At 46.3% G+C, this 19,261-nt stretch overlaps 1 protein-coding gene and 1 pseudogene across 11 annotated transcripts in view; one reads left to right on the top strand and one right to left on the bottom strand.

The window, feature by feature from the left end:
* Positions 1-19,261, top strand: part of PHF20 (PHD finger protein 20) — a 178,356-nt gene that overhangs the window by 153,315 nt on the left and 5,780 nt on the right. For all 11 annotated transcript variants that reach the window (XM_047440180.1, NM_016436.5, XM_017027868.3 and 8 more), the window contains 4 exons: positions 2,451-2,550; positions 5,920-6,115; positions 13,368-13,779; positions 15,535-15,718. In XM_047440180.1, the coding sequence (XP_047296136.1) occupies positions 2,451-2,550; positions 5,920-6,115; positions 13,368-13,779; positions 15,535-15,718 (892 nt within the window). The remainder of the gene's footprint in view (positions 1-2,450; positions 2,551-5,919; positions 6,116-13,367; positions 13,780-15,534; positions 15,719-19,261) is intronic.
* On the bottom strand, positions 3,241-3,346 carry RNU6-937P (RNA, U6 small nuclear 937, pseudogene; annotated as a pseudogene).

A 19,261-nucleotide genomic window follows, 5' to 3' on the forward strand; every position in this document is an offset into this window, starting at 1 on the left:
GCTCACTGCAACCTCCGCCTCCTAGGTTCAAGCAATTTTGAACCTGCTTCAGCCTCCCAAGTAGCTGAGATTACAGGCGCCTGCCACCATGCCTCCCTAATTTTTGTATTTTTAGTGGAGATGGGGTTTCAAACATGTTGGCCAGGCTGATCTTGAACTTCTGACCTTAAGTGATCCCCCCGCCTCGGCCTCCCAAAGTGCTGGCTGGGATTACAGGCATGAGCCACTGTGCTTGGCCGGGACTACATTCTTTTTATAAATTAACCCAAGGATAATTGATATCCATATGTTAACTCTTGCTGTCCAGGAACAGGGTGCACTGTACATTGACTTAAGTCTCTGTGTGTGTTCTTCAAATAGTATTTACATTTTTTTTTTTTTTAGAGAGGCAATACATGCTTATGGTTATTCTTAGGTATTTTATCTTTTAGTTTGTTTATTATTCTCATTCATTTCTTAATTTAAAGGAATAATGTGTTTTAGCTACACGCACATGGAAAAAGTTATCATTGGCCAGGCGCGGTGGCTCATGCCTATAATCCCAGCACTTTGGGAGGCCGAGGCAGGCGGATCATGAGGTTATGAGATCGAGACCATTCTGGCTAACACGGTAAAACCCCATCTCTACTAAAAATACAAAAAATTAGCTGGGCATGGTGGCATGTGCCTATAGTCCCAGCTACTCAGGAGGCTGAGGCAGGAGAATGGCTTGAACCTGGGAGGCAGAGGTTGCAGTGAGCCGAGATTGTCCCACTGCACTCCAGCCTGGGTGACAGAGTGAGACTCCATCTCAAAAAAAAAAAAAAAAAAAAGTTACCATTTTGAAACTGAACTGTATTTGATTCATTTTTGGTGAATCCTGGTTTTCAAAACATGAAGTCATTGGTGAGACAGACTTTCATTTTTTTTTTTTTTTTTTTTTTTTTGAGACGGAGTCTCGCTCTGTGGCCCAGGTGGGAGTGCAGTGGCGCAATCTCGGCTCACTGCAAGCTCCGCCTCCCAGGTTCACGCCATTCTCCTGCCTCAGCCTCCCGAGTAGCTGGGACTACAGGCGCCCGCCACCACGCCCGGCTAATTTTTTTTGTATTTTTAGTAGAGACGGGGTTTCACTGTGTTAGCCAGGATGGTCTCGATCTCCTGACCTCGTGATCCGCCCGCCTCGGCCTCCCAAAGTGCTGGGATTACAAGCGTGAGCCACCGCGCCCGGCCGACAGACTTTCATTTTTAATTGTTAGTCTGTTTTCTGCTACTGACCGCCTTTTTGTCACTTTACATATCTTCTCTGAGCCTTAGTTTCCTCATCTGTAAATTGAAGAATCTAAAACAGATATCTAAAGCCTGTCTTCCCGCTCTGCCCACATTGATTCTGATGTGATTAACTTCCTAGAGGCCTTATATCTGCTCAGGGAAGCCCTCTTGATGCCAGGACCTATGTGACTCCCAGTGGTTGAGGACCATCTGAGCTCTGGATTTCTAGTCCCTTGTGGCCAGGCTGGTGGGCCACCATCAAGGTCATGTCAGGAAGCTCACTGTCCACCTTCTAGGGCTAATTTGTTTGGTTGGGTAGTTAAAGGTTTAGGGTCCTGGTTTGGAATTGCTTGAAGTGCCCTAGTATCTCCTCGGGAGTTCGCCTTTCCTTTTCATTCCCTCCTCTGGACCCTTAGCTCTCAGACCTACTATCCTCAGGCTGTCCACATGTCTCCCAGTGCAACCCTCATTGTCAACTCCCTCCTTTCCCTCTCTGCCTTCTGGCCCTCTCCCCCTGTCCCCTCAATACTCAGGGAAGGAAGTGGAGCCTTGGGTTGAAAGAACTGGTTTAGCAACGAGTCAGGTTATGTTCTTATCCACCTTTGCCTTTCAATAGCTATGTGATCTTTGGTAAGGTTTAGAGAGAATAAATGCAAAGTACTAACCCATGATTACTCCAGCAGGGGTCTTAGTGAATTGGTTTGCTCATTAGTGGTTAATAGTATTAATAGTAGCTTATTACATAAAGCTATGTGCTGGGCTCTGTAATAGGAGCTTTTACATATGACCCATTGAATCTTCACAAACAGCCCCAGGAGGAGGGTAGGAATTGTGTATCCCATTTTGCAGATGGGGAAAATAAAGCCCAGGAGAACTAACCTGTGCAAAGTCACACAGCTAATGAGTGTCTGAGCCATAATTCAAACTCAGCTTTAAGATGTCACTCGTGGGACTGAGGAACTGAATTTTTAGCTTACCTTGTTAATTTCAATGTAGAGCCACATGTGGCTAGTGGCTACCATACTGGACAGTGCAGTTCCAGATGTGTGGCAGCAGCTCAGTTCCACGTTAGTCAGGAGGGAGTGCTCCTTCCTCCCCTCTCCTTCTATCCTCCCATGCCCCTCCCCTCAGCAGGTGGGTCTTACTTTTGGATGGAGAACACCTTCTGAGTTTAATTTTTGTTGCTTCTTTAATTCTAACAGTGTGAAGAGTGCCAGTGCTGGCAGCATGGGGTCTGCATGGGATTACTGGAAGAAAATGTGCCCGAGAAATACACCTGTTATGTTTGCCAAGACCCTCCAGGTAGAGATTTCTGGAGTCAGGGATATAACAGTATGTAGCCTTTTCCTTGGCACAGCTGGCTGTGACACATTCTAAATGTCTGCGGTCTTGAGACTCATTTCTTCAGCATCGGCTAGACTCCAGCTCCTCCTCGCCTCTGTTGCTATCCTGCCTTGTGGCCAGCTATCCTGAACGTAGCAATAAGAGCACACGTGTGAAGGGGCCCACCTAGTGGAAGGCCTGGCCTTGAGCTAGAACTTTTCCTTTTCTTTAATTATGGTTTAAAAAAAATGCATGAGGCCGGGCGCAGTGGCTCACGCCTGTAATCCCAGCACTTTGGGAGGCCAAGGCGGGTGAATCAACTGAGATCAGGAGTTCGAGACCAGCCTGGCCAATGTGGTGAAACTCCATCTCTACTAAAAATACAAAAATTAGCTGGGCATGGTGACAGGCGCCTGTAACCCCAGCTACTTGGGAGGCTGAGGCAGGAGAATCACTTGAACCCAGGTGGCGGAGGTTGCAGTGAGCCGAGATCATGCCAGTGCACTCCAGCCAGGGCAACAAGAGCGAAACTTCGTCTCAAAAAAAAAAAAAAAAAAAAAAAAGCATGAGATCTACCCTCAACAATACAGTATTGTTGTTAATAACTATAAGCACAATGTCGTACAGCAGATCTCCAGAACTTTCATCCTGCCTGATTGAAGCTGTGTAGAAAAATGTAGAAACTTCACAAGTTTGAGTGTCATCCTTGTGTAGGGGCCATGCTAATCTTCTCTGTATTGTTCCTGTTTTAGTGTATGTGCTGCCGAAGTGGCACCTTTTCCTTTTCTTGAGGACTCATGAGGATGGGCGTGTGGGCTCTGTCTTTGGCTTTTGGGGGCTATTGGAGGGTTAGAAACTTGCCTTTGCCCCCTGTGGCAACATCTGCCCTTCATCACATCACTGCCATCCTGAAGGGAGAAATGCCCTTGAGGGGAAGGAGGAAGGCATGGTTGGGTAGAGCCTGTTGCCACCCTGAGCAGTGACTTAATTCCTTAGCAGGATCAGTTAGTTCCATGGCTATAGGGGTCACCTGTGGCTCTTGATTGCTCCTTTCTAGAAGGGGTGGATTGTAAATATGCAGTTCATTGTCTTGGTTTCCATGGGATGGTGACATTGTCTCCCATTACCACTTGTAAGGTTCTCCCTCAGCTCTAGTCCCCTGATTCCTTTAGAGCTAGACAGTGCTTGAGAGCCTCTGCTTCCGTTACTCCTTTCTGTCCGATAAGGTGGGCCTGGTTCTCCTACTCCCAGTTTTGCTTATGAGGAAGAAATTGATCCTTGAGGATACAGTTGACTTTCCTCATAAAGCAAATTGGAATTAGAACTGGTTTGCAGAGCCAGATCTCTTGATTTTGTTGGTTGTCTAGGGAGGGACTGGCCACCAGTTCATTTAACAGCATGCAGGTCCCCTCTGGGCCTGAAGGCCTCTGTTGTGACACTGTCTCCTTGTACTAGAAGCATCTGCCTCCACTTGTCCCTTTATCCCAAGGAAAGAATAGTCAGAAGATTTGACAGGTGAACAAACACAAGTCCAGAAGGGACATGACTGGCCCAAGATCACGCCACCAGCTAATGCCAGACAGGCGATGAGAACCAGTTGTCTCATACCTTTGCCTTGTAAAACAGGTAGTGCAGCTCTGAATCCTGCTGCTCTAGGCACTGCCTGCAGCAGCTGCCTCTGGGGTTCCCCCATATATTCCTGAAGGCTCCTTAGCATACCTTTTAAAAATCTTTTTTTCCCTACTGTGTCTTTCTCTCTACTTTTCCTTCTTTAGAAGTCACACACACCATCTTCATCAAATCCTGTGCACTTACTGAACTTCTACGACTTTAATCGCCAATACTGTGAATAGACTCTTCCTTGAACTGAGCACAGCATGTCTGCCACAGGGTCTACCTTTATAGACTGACTCTGCAGAGGGCTGGACCAAAAGTTTAACAGATTCGTTTTTTAAAGGCTACTTAAAAATAGTTTTAACAGAATCAAGGTGTATCCCCACCATGTGTATTAGTAAAGCCAGAAGTAGCTCAAAGACCTTAATAGGAATCACCTGGGTGTTTCAAGGTTTTTATAGATATTGACAGTCGAACAACAGTCTGGTAGAAAGCTTTTCCCTGGGACTTTGGAGCAGGTCATGTTGATAAGTCACATGTGCTTTTGTTTTCAGTCCTTCCTAAGGAGCCCTGTAACAAATAGGATGGCTGAAGCCATCCAGTTCCTATGTTGTTCTAATGAATGGATAACAGGTACAGAGAAGGGAAGGGGCCTGATCATCTGTTGAGTTAGGTGGTAGAAGGTACATTTGCAGGGGGACTTGAGGCATCTTTCCATTCATTTGATAAGTCCATTCAAGATGCCTTTTGCCAGGCACTGGGGATACAACCATGAACAAGATAGTTCCTACTCTTTCGGCTCTTAATTGGGTTGGGAGCCAGAAACAGAAGTTAAAACAAGTTAAGTAAACAAGACTGTGTAAGGTAGTGATGAATGCCGTGACGGGAAAATTGATAAGACGACTTGAGGCACTGATGATGCTCTCAACTTTGGGAAGTAGCAGAAGGCCCCACTCCTGGGCAACATGGCAAAACCCCATCAAAAAAAAATGAAAGAAAGAAAGAAAAATTAGCCAGGCATGGTGGTGCACACCTGTAGTCCCAGATACTCGGGAGGCTGAGGTGGGAGGATCACCTGAGCCCAGGGAGGCTGAGGCTGCAGTGAGCCATGATCATGCCACTGCACTGTAGCCTGGGCAACAGAGTGAGACCCTGCCAACAAAGCAGGAAAAAAATAAAAGCCTTTCTGAGGAGGTGGTAAGGAGCCAACCCTGCAAAGGCTTAGGGAATAGTGCTGCAGACAGAAGGGATGCGCAAGTGAAGGTCTTGAGGCTGGAAAGAGTTTGATGTGTTTCAGAAACTGAAATGAGGCCAGTGTAAAGGTATGGAGGGGAAGACAGGAAGGAACTGGGTCCTGTGGGCCTCAGTAAGCCAGAGTTAGAGAGTTGGGGCTTTGGGTATTCTCCTTTGAGCAGTAGGAGGCAGTGGAAGGTTTTAAGTAGGGGAGAGAATATTATGATATAAATTTGGAGATAATCTAGGTGCCCAGCTCACCTCTGGCCAGTTCCAGGAAATGAGGAAGTACATGCCTTATTCACTACCTTATCCCCACTACCTAATAGAGAGCCCAGCATATGGTAGGTGCCAAGAAAATGTACACTGGATGAATAAATGAACAAAATGAGTATACTAATCTGTTCTTCCAGTAGTTGGTATGATAATTGTGTGAGAGTGATGAAATGGCCTGGGTTTCCTTCAGGCCTTGTTTTAACCCTCTTGTTGTCACTGCTGTAGGTCAGAGGCCTGGCTTCAAGTACTGGTATGACAAGGAGTGGCTGAGCAGGGGACATATGCATGGCCTGGCATTTCTAGAAGAGAACTACTCCCATCAGAATGCCAAGAAGATCGTGGCCACCCACCAGCTTCTTGGTGATGTGCAGAGAGTGATTGAGGTTCTGCATGGCCTGCAGCTCAAGATGAGCATCTTGCAGTAAGTGTGGCACCTGCAGTGCTGGGAGCAGTCTGTTTGGCATGGTCTGGGGGCTGAGTAAATCTGAGAAATTGGAAAGCTACCAAAGCAATCAAATCATAAAACTGAGTTTGAGACCTTTACTAAAAATTATCAGTTTCAGGATAAACATTCTTTAAAAAAAAAAAAACTTTATTGAGTAATATCTTACATATAATTAGGTTCATCCACTTTAAGAGTTCATTGAGGCCGGGCATGGTGGCTCATGCCTGTAATCCCAGCACTTTGGGAGGCCGAGGTAGGCGGATCATGAGGTAAGGAGTTCGAGACCAGCCTGACCAACATGGTGAAACCCTGTCTCTACTGAAATTACAAAAATTAGCTAGGCGTGCTGGTGTGCGCCTGTAATCTCAGCTACTTGGGAGGCTGAGGCGGGAGCATCGCTTGAACCCGGGAGGCGGAGGTTGTGGTGAGCTGAGATCGTGCCATTGCACTCCAGCCTGGGCAATAAGAGCGAAACTCCGTCTCAAAAAAAAAAAGAGTTCATTGAATTTTGACATTGTATGCAGCCGTGAAGCCACCACCAGAATCAATACATGGTGTGTGTATTTTGGTTTGTTTTTTGTTTTGGCATACAGTTCTGAGTGTTTTTTTTTTTTTTTGAGATGGAGTCTCACTCTGTCACCCAGGCTGGAGTGCAGTGGTGAGATCATGGCTCACTGCAGCCTCCACCTCCTGGGTTCAAGCGATTCTCCCACTTCAGCCTCCCAAGTAGTTGGGACTACAGGCGCATGCCACCATGCCTGGCTAATTTTTTGTGTTTTCTGTAGATATAGGGTTTTACCATGTTGGCCAGGCTGGTCTTGAACTCCTGACCTCAAGTGATCCACCCACCTCGGGCTCCCAAAGTGCTGGGATTACAGGCACGAGCCACTGTACCTGGCTGAGTTATTTGTTTTTAATTGCTGTAAGATATACATAATATAAAATTTACCATCTTAACCATTTTTTTTTTTTTTTTTTTTGAGACAGAGTCTCGCTCTGTCGCCCAGGCTGGAGTGCAGTGGTGTGATCTCGGCTCACTGCAACTTCTGCCTCCCAGATTCAAGTGATTCTCCTGCCTCAGCCTCCTGAGTAGCTGGGAATACAGGCGCACGCCACCACACCCGGCTAATTTTTGTATTTTTAGTAGAGACAGGGTTTCACCATGTTGGCCAGGCTGGCCTTAAACTCCTGACCTCAGGTGATCCACCCACCTCGGCCTCCGAAATTTCTGGGATTACAGGTGTGAGCCACTGCACCCGGCCCCATCTTAACCATTTTTAAGTGTACAGCTCTGCACAGTTGTCATTCATGTTGTTTTACAACCAGTCTCTAAAACCCTTGTGAAACTGAAGTTCTATACCCTTTACCAACAGCTCTCCATTTCCCTTTCCCCAAAGCCCCTGACAACCAGTATTCTACTTTCTGCCTCTCTGAATTTGACTTCTCTAGAGACCTCATGTAAGTGGAGTCATATAGTGTTTGTCTTTTTGTGACTGGCTTATTTCACTTAGCATAGTGTCCTCAAAGTTCATCCGTGTTATAGCATATGTAAGAATTTCCTCCCTTTTTAAGGCTGAGTAATAACTTGTTTTATGTGTATGCCACATTTTGTTTATCCCTTTCATGCTAAATATTCCTTTTTTTTTTTTTTAACAAGAGATGGAGTCTTGCTTTATTTCCCAGGCTGAAGTGCAGTGGCTACTCACAGGTGCGATCATCAAGCACTGCAGCCTCAAGCTCCTGGGCTCAAGCAACTCAGCTCATTCTTTTTTTTTTTTTTCTGAGACAGAGCCTCGCTCTGTCACCCAGGCTGGAGTGCAGTGGCGTGATCTTGGCTCACTGCTACCTCCACCTCCTGGGTTCAAGCGATTCTCCTGCCTTAAACTCCTGAGTTGCTAGGATTACAGGCACATGCCACCACACCTGGATAATTTTTTTTTTTTTTTGAGACCGAGTCTCGCTCTGTCACCCAGGCTGGAGTCCAGTGGCATGATCTTGGCTTACTGCAAGCTCTGCCTCCTGGGTTCACGCCATTCTCCTGCCTCAGCCTCCCGAGTAGCTGGGACTACAGGCGCCTGCCACCACGCCCGGCTAATTTTTTTGTATTTTTAGTAGATACAGTGTTTCACCGTGTTAGCCAGGATGGTCTCGATCTACTGACCTTGCGATCCACCTGCCTCAGCCTCCCAAAGTGCTGAGATTACAGGCATGAGCCACTGCGCCTGGCCTAATTTTTGTATTTTTAGTAGAGATGGGGTTTCACCATGTTGGCCAGGCTGGTCTCGAGCTCCTGGCCTCAACTGATCTGCCCATCTCGGCCTCCCAAAGTGCTGTGATAACAGGCGTGGGCCACTGTGCCCGGTCGGTCTCTTGGCTGTTATAACCTACCCTACTTTACCAAATACAGCAACAGGGCCTTGAGTGGGGTAGGCCTCTTCCATGGTTTCCATGGGTGGAGCCTGGACTAGAATCCAAATCCTGGCTCTGTCAGGTACTTTTCGAACTGTCTCTCTATGTGATACTGCATGACCTTGTGAGCTTTCTTTTGGTTTTAGTATAGTCTGTGTCAGGGACTGCTTTTATTTAAGTTGTAAACAGTGGCAGACTAGTGCGATGAGTGAGTTAAGACTTGATAGGCTGCTCCTGGATAGGATTTCCTTTGTGCTGATCAGGCCTAGAGGAGGCCTGGTGTCAGGCAGAGTGGAGTATCAGGACCCTGAGATGGTGAGATGGGAATCTGCTTCCTCTTGTGCTCTCTGGCACACAGAGGCCTGGCTTCAAGATCTGCGTGACAAAGGTGGTGGAGGAGGGAACATTGGGTCTGCGTTGGTTTGGGTAAAAGCTGAGGTGCTATAACAAGGACCCCCCACATAGAGGCTCAAACAAAACAGAAGTTTCTTTCTCATATAAATGAATGGTTCAAGGCTAGGCAGGGATCTAGGCTAGGTAGGAGACCTTTCTCCAGGATTCCATCCGTTGGGTTGGGAACTTTGTTTCCTTCTGTCTTACGGCTCCAGCATTCTCTTAGGGTTCCCCTTATCTGCATGGTCTTAGGTTCCTTTTGTCTTATTGCTCTGGCATTCTCTTGGGATACCCCCCATTTGCATGGTTGAAGCAGTTTCACCTGCATTTCAGCTCTACCCCAGTCCCCAGGAGGGGGAAAAGAGAGAAAGAAGAGGGAGGGCAAATAGTTTCATGGACAGGCCTAATGGCAGGGCAGGCTGGGCAGGTGGCCACAGGCCCTGCTTATACTTAGAAGTAGGGGTGGGGGTGGGGATAAAAGGAGGAGAGGTTGGATGCTGGGGCAATTAGCAGTTGCTGTGGCAGAATCTGTTGAGGTGAACTGAACCAAATGACGGCCCTGGATAGGATGTCAGAGACTAGCTATTTCCTCACATTTCATAAAACAGGAAAACGTAACCCCATGTAAACCAAATGAATTTGTTTTTAATGAGATGGCAGCAATTAAATGAAGTAGGTGGATGGTGGTCCACGTGAGTGCCTGGGAAACCTCAGGGGCTGCTCCTGATTGTAAACTTAGCTATATTTCTTTAAAAAAAAATTTTTTTTTTTTAAGAGATGGAGTCTTTCTGTGTTGCCCAGGCTGGTCAAGTGATCTACCTGCCTTGCCCTCCCAAAGTGCTGGGGTTATAGGTGTAAGCCACTGTGTCTGGCTCATATTTCTTTTATTTTTATTATTTTCTTCTCGACAGTCTTAATAGGGCTGAACTTTTTAAAAATAATAATTGTTATCCTCCCACCTCAGCCTCCTGAGTAGCTGGGACTATAGGCGCCTGCATTTCTTTTCATTTGAGGGTTCTGTCAGATGCTGTTCTCTTTTTTCTTACAGAAATGCCAGTGTTCCTGGCCCTGGCCCATATTCTGAAGCCTTGCCCTTTCTTTTTTTATGTTTTTGAGACAAGGGTCTCACTCTGTCACCCAGGCTGGAGTGCAGTGGTATGATCGCGGCTCACTACAACTTCTGCCTCCCGAGTTCAAGCGATTCTTATGCCTCAGCCTCCCCAGTAGCTGGGATTGCAGGCATGTACCACCGCACCTGGCTAGTTTTCATATTTTTAGTAGAGACTGGGTTTTGCCATGTTGCCCAGGGTGGTCTCGAACTCCTGGGCTCAAGTGCTTTGTCTGCCTCGGCCTCCTAAAGTGCTGGGATTACAGGCATGAGCCACTGTGCCTAGCCCCTTGTCCCTTCTGAATCCTCATCTAGATCCTCCATCTTTAGAGAAATTACTTTGTTTGTAGTAGAATTAAATCTGTCTTCTAGCAATTCAGAAGAGGGCATAGGAAGATCTTGGTACTTCTTACAAATGGAGAAAAGATCCTGGGAAAGGGGAAGGTGGCCCCAGTATGTCTCTGTATTCATGGATGGTCTCTGTTGTCATGGGCTCTGGGTCTTTATTCTCAGAAATATTGTTCCCCAGTGACCTGGTGAATTTATTTTCGAAGACAAACAATAAAACTGGGAGTAACTTCAGAGCATCTGTCATCATAAAAAACATGGCCTGGATGGCTGTGCTTACCTTCTTCATGACTGACAGGGCTTACAAGGAAATGGCAGGGTCATGCTTGCGAGAAGTAGCACCTTCAGATCGCAGTTGGAAGGATGAAAATTGTAGGTGGGAGGAAGCAGAGACTTTAATGGTTTTTTTAATAAAGAGCAGGTCTGTACTATGGTTCGTGTGTTCCATGTTAACAGGTAGTGGACCTGAAAGTTAACAATGACTCCCATTTCCCCTGAGCAGTTTTAGTGGTGTGTCTGGGTCCTGGGTAGGCTCCTGGGACAGGCTGATACCCTGTCTGGAGGTATCCCAAACAATTGATGCCAATTGTTTCCCCTCTTCCTTAGTGGCTAGCAGTGGTATGGGATTGCTGGAGTGGGAGAGCTGAGACGGGATAGTTGCAGGCCCTTGGGAGCAGAATTTTAGTTCTGTAACATCGCTCTATGCCTTCATGTATATGACCACTTCCACTTTCACAGGAAGGTACAGGAAGGCATCCACAGCATTTTATGTGCACATACATGGAGGCACAGCTTTCAGTAGATGCTCACAGGAGTCTGGCCCTAAAAAGGATAAGAATCCCTGTTCTTTTCTTTAATAACAAACTTTTTTCTTTGGAATGGTGCGAATAAATTTTCAGAATAATTTTTAGAAGCTTTATCATTAATGACCTATACATAAAGGACAGTTGATTTTATTTTTTTAACCCCTGGGTAATCATTGCATTTTTGTAATCAAATGCCATTACATGCTGGGATCATTGTGACTGTTTATTAATAAGTTAAGGTTATTTTTAGTAAGTCACATTTGAAGAGCACTTTACCACCATTAATTCACTTAATTGTTATGAAACTCAGTGTTTGATGGTGTTGGCAAAAAGAGTCAAATTCTGTAAAATACTTGAAGATATTTATTCTGAGCCAAATATGAGGACCTTGACTTGTGAGACACCCTCAGGAAGTCCTGAGAACATGAGCCCAAGGTGGTCAGGCTACATACAGCTTGGTCTCACACATTTTAGGGAGACATAAGACATCAATACATATAAGAAGTACATTGGCTGGGTCCAGAAAGGCAGACCAACTTGAGGGGTGGGTGGGCTTCCAGGTCATAGGTAGATTCAAAGATTTTCTGATTGGCAATTGGTTGAAAGAGTTAAGTTATTATCTAAAGAGTCAAGTTATTATCTAAAGGCCAGTCGCCAGGCTTGGTGGCTCACGCCTTTGGGCTCCCAGCACTTTGGGAGGTCGAGGTGGGCGGATCACCTGAGGTTGGGAGTTCGAGACCAGCCTGACCAACATGTAGAAACTCCATCTCTACTAAAAATACAAAATTAGCTGGGCATGGTGACGCATGCCTGTAATCCCAGCCACTTGGGAGGCTGAGGAGGGAGAATCGCTTGAACCTGGGAGGTGGAGGTTGTGGTGAGCCGAGATCGCACCATTGCACTCCAGCCTGGGCAACAAGAGCGAAACTCCGTCTCAAAAAAAAAAAAAAGAAAGAAAGAAAGGAGTGTCTGGGTTAAAATAAGGGGTTGTGGAGACCAAGGTTCTTACCATGTAGATGAAGCCTCCAGGTAGCAGGCTTCAGAGAGAATAGATTGTAAATGTTTCTTATCAGACCTAAAAAGGTGCCAGACTCTTCCTTAATTTTCTCCTGGATCAGGAAAGGACCTGGAAAGGAAAGGAGGTTCTCTATAGAATGTAGATTTCCCCACAAGAGACAGCTTCCAGGGCTAGTTCAAAATATGTCAAAGAAATATATTTTGGGGTAAAATACTTTGATTTCTTTCAGTACCTGCTATCTGTTATGTTGGTATCTTAATTGCTACAGTCTGTTTTGTCAGTCTGAGGGTCTCTATTTTAATGTTTTGTTGTTGTTGTTGTTTTGTTTTGTTTTGTTTTTTGAGACGGAGTCTTGCTGTCGCCCAGGCTGGAGTGCAGTGGCGCAATCTTGGCTCACTGCAAGCTCTGCCTCCTGGGTTCACGGCATTCTCCTGCCTCAGCCTCCCAAGTAGCTGGGACAACAGGCACCCGCCACCACGTCCAGCTAATTTTTTTTGTATTTTAGTAGAGGCGGGGTTTCACCGTGTTAGCCAGGATGGTCTCGATCTCCTGACCTCGTGATCCTCCTGCCTCGGCCTCCCAAAGTGCTGGGATTACAGGTGTGAGCCACCGCCCCCGGCCCGTTTTAATGTTAATGCTGGTCAGTTGTGCATGAATTCCAAAGGGAGAAGGGTATAATGTGGCTTGTCTGACTCCCTTCCCATCATGGCCTGAACTAGTGTTTCAGTTTAATGTTGGAATGCTCTTGGCCAAGAGGAGGGGTCCATTCAGGTTGGTTGAGGGGCTTAGAATTTTATTTTTGGTTTACAATAGCAGACAGATCAGACAGATAATTAGCCCAGTTTCACAGAGGAGGAAGTAGGAATGATGCTGGTTGAGTGAGTTGTCCCAGAGTTGAAATCCAGTCAGGTCTTCTGACTGAGAGTCCAGTCCCACTCACTGTGTGTGACCACAGTGGGAGCTCACTAAGGAGTGGTCTCCTAGGAGACCACGGATTCACATTCGCTCTTGTTTAGCAAATGGTAGTGTGTGGTCAGATGGCCCAGGTGGAGCTGCTGTCCCTACTGGGAGAGTATTTAGGAATTGAGAACCCCTGCAATGGTGCCAGTTACTCCAAAGCCCATGTCCTCTTTGTCCTCTCAACAGAAGCCGGGAGCATCCTGATCTGCCGCTGTGGTGCCAGCCTTGGAAACAGCACTCAGGGGAGGGGAGATCTCATTTCAGAAACATCCCTGTCACTGACACCAGGAGCAAGGAGGAAGCTCCAAGCTATAGAACTTTGAACGGGGCAGTGGAGAAGCCCAGGCCCCTGGCCCTGCCCCTGCCGCGTTCTGTGGAGGAATCCTATATCACCAGTGAGCATTGCTACCAGAAGCCCCGCGCCTATTACCCTGCCGTGGAGCAGAAGCTGGTGGTGGAGACGAGGGGCTCTGCCCTCGACGATGCGGTCAACCCCCTCCATGAGAACGGCGATGATTCCCTTTCCCCGCGCCTGGGCTGGCCTCTAGACCAAGACAGGAGCAAGGGGGACAGTGACCCCAAACCCGGCTCCCCAAAGGTATGTGGCTGCCTTGTACTTGTTCTTCATTCATTGCGTGAATGCTTGCAAGTTATCCTCCTAGTTTGAATGCTCTATGGAAGATATTTATTAATAAAACTGTATTTAAATTTGCTTACCATAGATATGTTTTGGTTTGCCAAAATGGGTGCAAAGTCAGGAGAGCCCACTTAAGCCAAAGATCCTTGGTTCCAGGAAGCACCCACAAAATGGCATAGTCAAGTGTGGCACGTGGGGTGGGGGGCGCGGGTGCAGAGGGAGGGAGAGGTGGGAAGTAGCAAGGAGATATGGATTAGCAAAACTCATCTTTTCTTTAAGGCAGTTTGCATTATAATTGCACCTAGATGTTAATTCTTAGCATGAGCAAACAATGAGTCAAATGTTTTGTTAGGCAGAATTTTTTCAATCCAGTTGTATGATAGCTTTATTTTGACTTTTAACTTTGAAGCCCTGTGGTAAAAATGGTACACTTTGTCAAAATATTGCTGGTTTCATCAGTTTTCCCAAGAGCCACTTTTGGTTTTTTGTTATTCAAGTCATTCTCTTCTAGAACCCCCTTGTATCACCTCGTTGCCGGTGTTTTCATCTCTAACTGCTCACTAGGCTCATTGTGCCCTGTCCTCAGTTGTCAGTGAGGCTTTGTATGATTTGAGAGTTTCTCTGTCTCATCATCCTTACTTCCCAGACTTTCTCCTGCAGGTTGGTGTCACCAGTGTTAAATACATTGCTGCATGGTGCCAAGGGGATCCTAGATTACAAGCCCCTCAAGGGAGGGGATTGTATCTCATGCATCCTTGTGCCCTTGACTATGTCTAAACGGTGTTGGGCAAGGTGGTAAGAACACAGTCTTTTGAGACAGACGCAGTTTCAATTCTGAGCTCAGCCCCTTACTGTGTGATTCTGAGCGGGTTACTTCACTTTCCTGATCAGACCTGTTTTCTCGCCTGTAGAATGGGGCCAGTGAAGCCCCCTCAGTTACTGTGGAACATATTTGTGAAAATCCCTCAGTAAAATCCCTCAGTTTTGCACATAGTAAGTACTAAATAAATATTGGCTAGAATCTATTTCATTTCAAATGGATGAATGAAAGGTTGAGTTACCAAATCCTAGAAAAGGTTTGTGGTCCTGTGGATCAGGCAGGTTTCCTAGAGGTATCTGGCACATAAAACAAAGCCAGGAAATACTGGGCCTCAGCAAAGCAACCAGGGCTAACAGTCTTTTCCATTGATGGTAAGCTGACTGTAAGCTGGCCTTGCTTTTATGTGCCTTACCCTATTTCATCCTCATGAACCTTCCAAATAGGTTTTAGTACCCCCATCCTCCCACCGAGAAAGCAGAGGCTCAGAGACATGAAGTAGTCCATCCAGACTCGCACATTCGCAGGAGATGGAGCTGAGACTTGAAACGCGTTGGTGTGACTCCCGTGTACTAACCCTTGTCTGCACTAGCCCTGCTCTAATCACCTCTCAGGGCTCTGGAAGCCATTCTGTGAGGCTTACTTTAGGCTAGGACATTGGCCCAGTCAGTAGGAAGCAGCTGTGGGTCCCCTGAGCTAGAGTGCTACCCTGAGGTAGTTGGAATTGGTACAGTGGGCAAGCTCCTGCCCAGTTCCTAAGTGGGAAATAGGAAAGGGAGGTAGGGATTTGGAGTATTGAAACTGCAGCTAGTATTTCAGGTGGCTGGAAATGCTGGCTGGTTGAAAAATGGGCCAGGGGCTATCTCCATTCAGTAATTTCCATGCCATTGCATCCCCAGGTGAAGGAATATGTCTCCAAAAAGGCCCTACCAGAAGAAGCCCCTGCTCGGAAGCTGCTGGACAGAGGTGGAGAGGGGCTGCTGAGCTCCCAGCACCAGTGGCAGTTTAACCTGCTGACCCATGTGGAATCTCTTCAGGATGAAGTTACGCACAGGATGGACTCCATTGAGAAGGAGTTGGATGGTAGGGCTCCTTCATTGGCCCCCTGTGCATTGGCATGCAGTCGAGCACCCCCAGACGAGCTGCTTTCTGAACCCCCCAGTCTGAGTTTACAGGGACCGCTGTACTCTTTGCTTCTCTTCTTTTCAGCCTCTCCCCACCTCCATTCTCCCCTCAGGATGGATGAGCCTTACTTTTAGTATTTATCAGGTGCAAGATCTGCATGATGTTGGGTCCTGCCTCACTTGTCTGATCCCTTCTGTAAAGTTGAGTATGCAGAGAGAGGGCAACTGGCAGTCCTGCTTGCAGGAAATATGTGATCTAAGCCAATCTTTACAAACAAGTTCTGTGAGAAATTAAAATTTTGACTTGAGTTTTAGGATATCTGAGGATTTAATCTGAAAAACCTCTTATTCCAATCTTTGATAAAATCTAAAATGAAGCTTTCTCCTCGTAAGCCAGTAGAGATTTGAGAATTTGCCTGAGTCATTTGTATAGCCCTGAGTATTCCTTCCAGATATTGGTGGTTACGGACAGGCCTGGAGGATCAAACCGGTGATGATGAACATGATCAAGTTCAGTCTCTCTCCAGGAAGTTGACGGTTTTGGTTGTTGAAATATTCCCTAATTATTTGTTTTCATGTTGAAAATGGAGCCCAGTTAAAAAAGAAATGTTGTTTGAGGATTCTGGGTACAGTCTGGCTATGATTTTTTACTGTAACTGGGAATATAAAACATACATGAAATAACTCAGGAGAAAATGCCATCTGTTATACAAGTGATGCCATGAGGTGTGGCCGGGACACATGTGGCTGATGTCAATGCAGAGGAGGAGAGTGCTAATAGGAGGGCTTCCTAAAACTCCTGAGACTGAAGTTGAGCTTTAAGGAGAGTGATGGTGTTTCCTACTGGAGAGGACTCAGGGTGGATGATCTGGCTAGACTGGAAAAAGAGTTGCCCTGTTGGAGGACAGTGAGAGAGACAGCAAGACCTAGGCTGGGTGTGGTGGCTCACACCTATAATCCCAGTACTTTGGGAGGTCAAGGTGGGAGGATTGCTTGAGGCCAGCCTGGGCATCACAGTCTCTACAAAAAAATAAAAAACTAGCCAAGTGTAGGGGTGTAGTCCCAGCTACTTGGGAGGCTGAGGCGGGAGGACTGCTTGAGCCCAGGAGTTGGAGGCTGCAGTGAGCTGTGATTATGTCACGGTACTCCAGCCTGTGTAACACAGACCCTGTCTCTAAAAAAATAAACTAAAAAAAAGGGATTGTAACTGATGCCACTGTCTGTGAAAAACATATTATTAGAGAGCTGAAGGAGGATATAATGTTAGACAAAAAAGTGTAGCTCTTGAGAGAATGGCAGTAGGAGTGGCTCTGTAGTCCCTGAAAAGAGGATTAGCACCATGGAAACAGGGTGAATGTTCGGTTGTTGCCACAGGGACCTTCCCTGAGGGAGAAGTTAAAGTCTACTCACATCTTACTTCCTTAATCCTCTCTTCAGCCAGGTTTGGCCTCTCTAGCCCTGCCGAATGGGCAGTGTGGCAAGGATGGTAGGCCTGAACCCCCTTCTTTGGCCTCACAGATGACCTCTTGTGTGTCTTGCTAATTCAGAGCCACATATTCTGTACATTTCTAAGACTCTAGGCCCTGAGAGAGATAACAAGAAAGCATTAAAATAAATGATAAAGCTTAAAGATTTTATTTAGGTAAACAGACTTTTGCATAGTATTTAAGATTAATCAAAATCCCTTTTTATGGAATCAACTCTTTATTTAAACACCAAGATAAACTAAGCTTTCTTTCTTTCTTTTTTTTTTGAGATGGAGTCTCGCTCTGTTGCCCGGGCTGGAGTGCAGTGGTGCCATCTCAGCTCACTGCAAGCTCCGCCTCCCGGGTTCACGCCATTCTCCTGCCTCAGCCTCCCGCGTAGCTGGGACTACAGGTGCCCGCCACCAGGCCCGGCTAATTTTTTATATTTTTAGTAGAGACAGGGTTTCACTGTGTTAGCCAGGATGGTCTCGATCTCCTGACCTCATGATCCGCCCACCTTGGCCTCCCAAAGTGCTGGGATTATAGACGTGAGCCACCGTACCCAGCCCTAAACTAAGCTTTCATAACCAAGTTTTAAAATAGGAATTTGGATGTAACATTCCTTTTTTAAAAAGCCGGCCTGCTTAGCTGGGTGTGGTGGTGCACACGTATAATCCTAGCTACTTGGGAGGCTGAAGCAGCAGAATCTAGGAGGCGGAGGTTGCAGTGAGCTGAGATCATATCACTGCACTCCAGACTGGGCAACAGAGTGAGACTCAGTCTGAAAATAAAAAATTTAAAAAAATTTAAAAGCTGACCTGGCGTGGTGGCTCACACTTGTAATCCCAGTGCTTTGGGAGGCCAAGGAGTTCAAGGTTACAGTGAGCTATGATCGTGTCACTGTACTCCAGCCTGGGTGACAGAGCAAGACCCCATTTCTTTAAAAAAAAAAAAAAAAAAGCCTAGTAAGCTATTATATGAAATATATATATATATATGCCATTGTTTTACAATTGGCCATTATTTAATTATTTATGTAGTTATATGAATAGTACTTTATTTATTTATTTATTTATTTATTTTTGAGACGGAGTCTCGGTCTGTTGCCCAGGCTGGAGTGCAGTGGCACGATCTCGGCTCACCACAACCTCCACCTCCTGGCTTCAAGCAATTCTCCTGCTTCAGCCTCCCGAGTAGCTGGGATTATAGGTGCACACCGCCATGCCTGGCTAATTTTTGTATTTTTAATAGAGACGGGGTTTCACTATGTTGGCCAGGCTGGTCTCGATCTCCTGACCTCATGATCTGCCTGCCTCGGGCTCCCAAAGTGCTGGGATTACAGGTGTGAGCCACTGCACCCAGCCTGAACAGTACTTTAAAACTAAAAGACAAAGGATATTTAATGACCATGAAAAGTAAAAAAGTCTTTTGGCATTAGAGAGATTATTTTCTTAAATAAAAAATGTTGCCTTGGTGAGCAGTGGTCTCTATACACATGATCTTAGTGTATTTGAACAGAATTTTTTCCTCTGTAACCTTCTGTCTTGCTAGCAACCACTATGCTAGTTGGAAGCTGTTCTGCATCTTTAAAAGAGACACTTGGGATGGTGCAGCACATGGTATGGAGAGGGTGGCCTGCTGGATGCTGGGGTCCAGAGGAGATGCTGTTGACTTCCCACAGTCCTGGCTTTGTTCTTCAGCCTAACAGACCTAGACAGACAGCTTCCATCTCAGGAACTCCACACACTCCTGTTAACCAAGCTCAGGCACTACTGAGTGGCTTAGACTCTTCCAGTCTGAGCGTTGGTGCGCTTTCACACTGTGCATGCCTCCTGGGCCACCGTAGTATCGGGATGTCTTTGGTGAGCCTGGAACTAGATCCAAGGTAGTTAGGGTGACCTTAAGAGGGGCCTCTCAGCAACTGTAGGATCATCTTGCAAAAGATTGACTGACTCTCTTTGCTGTTGGAGTGACCCATCCAGTCCTGACTGCCTTTTGTCCATTTATTTATTTTTATTTTATTTTATTTTTTTAAG

The sequence above is a fragment of the Homo sapiens genome, chromosome 20, assembly GCF_000001405.40.
Source record: "Homo sapiens chromosome 20, GRCh38.p14 Primary Assembly".
Lineage (NCBI taxonomy): Eukaryota > Metazoa > Chordata > Mammalia > Primates > Hominidae > Homo > Homo sapiens.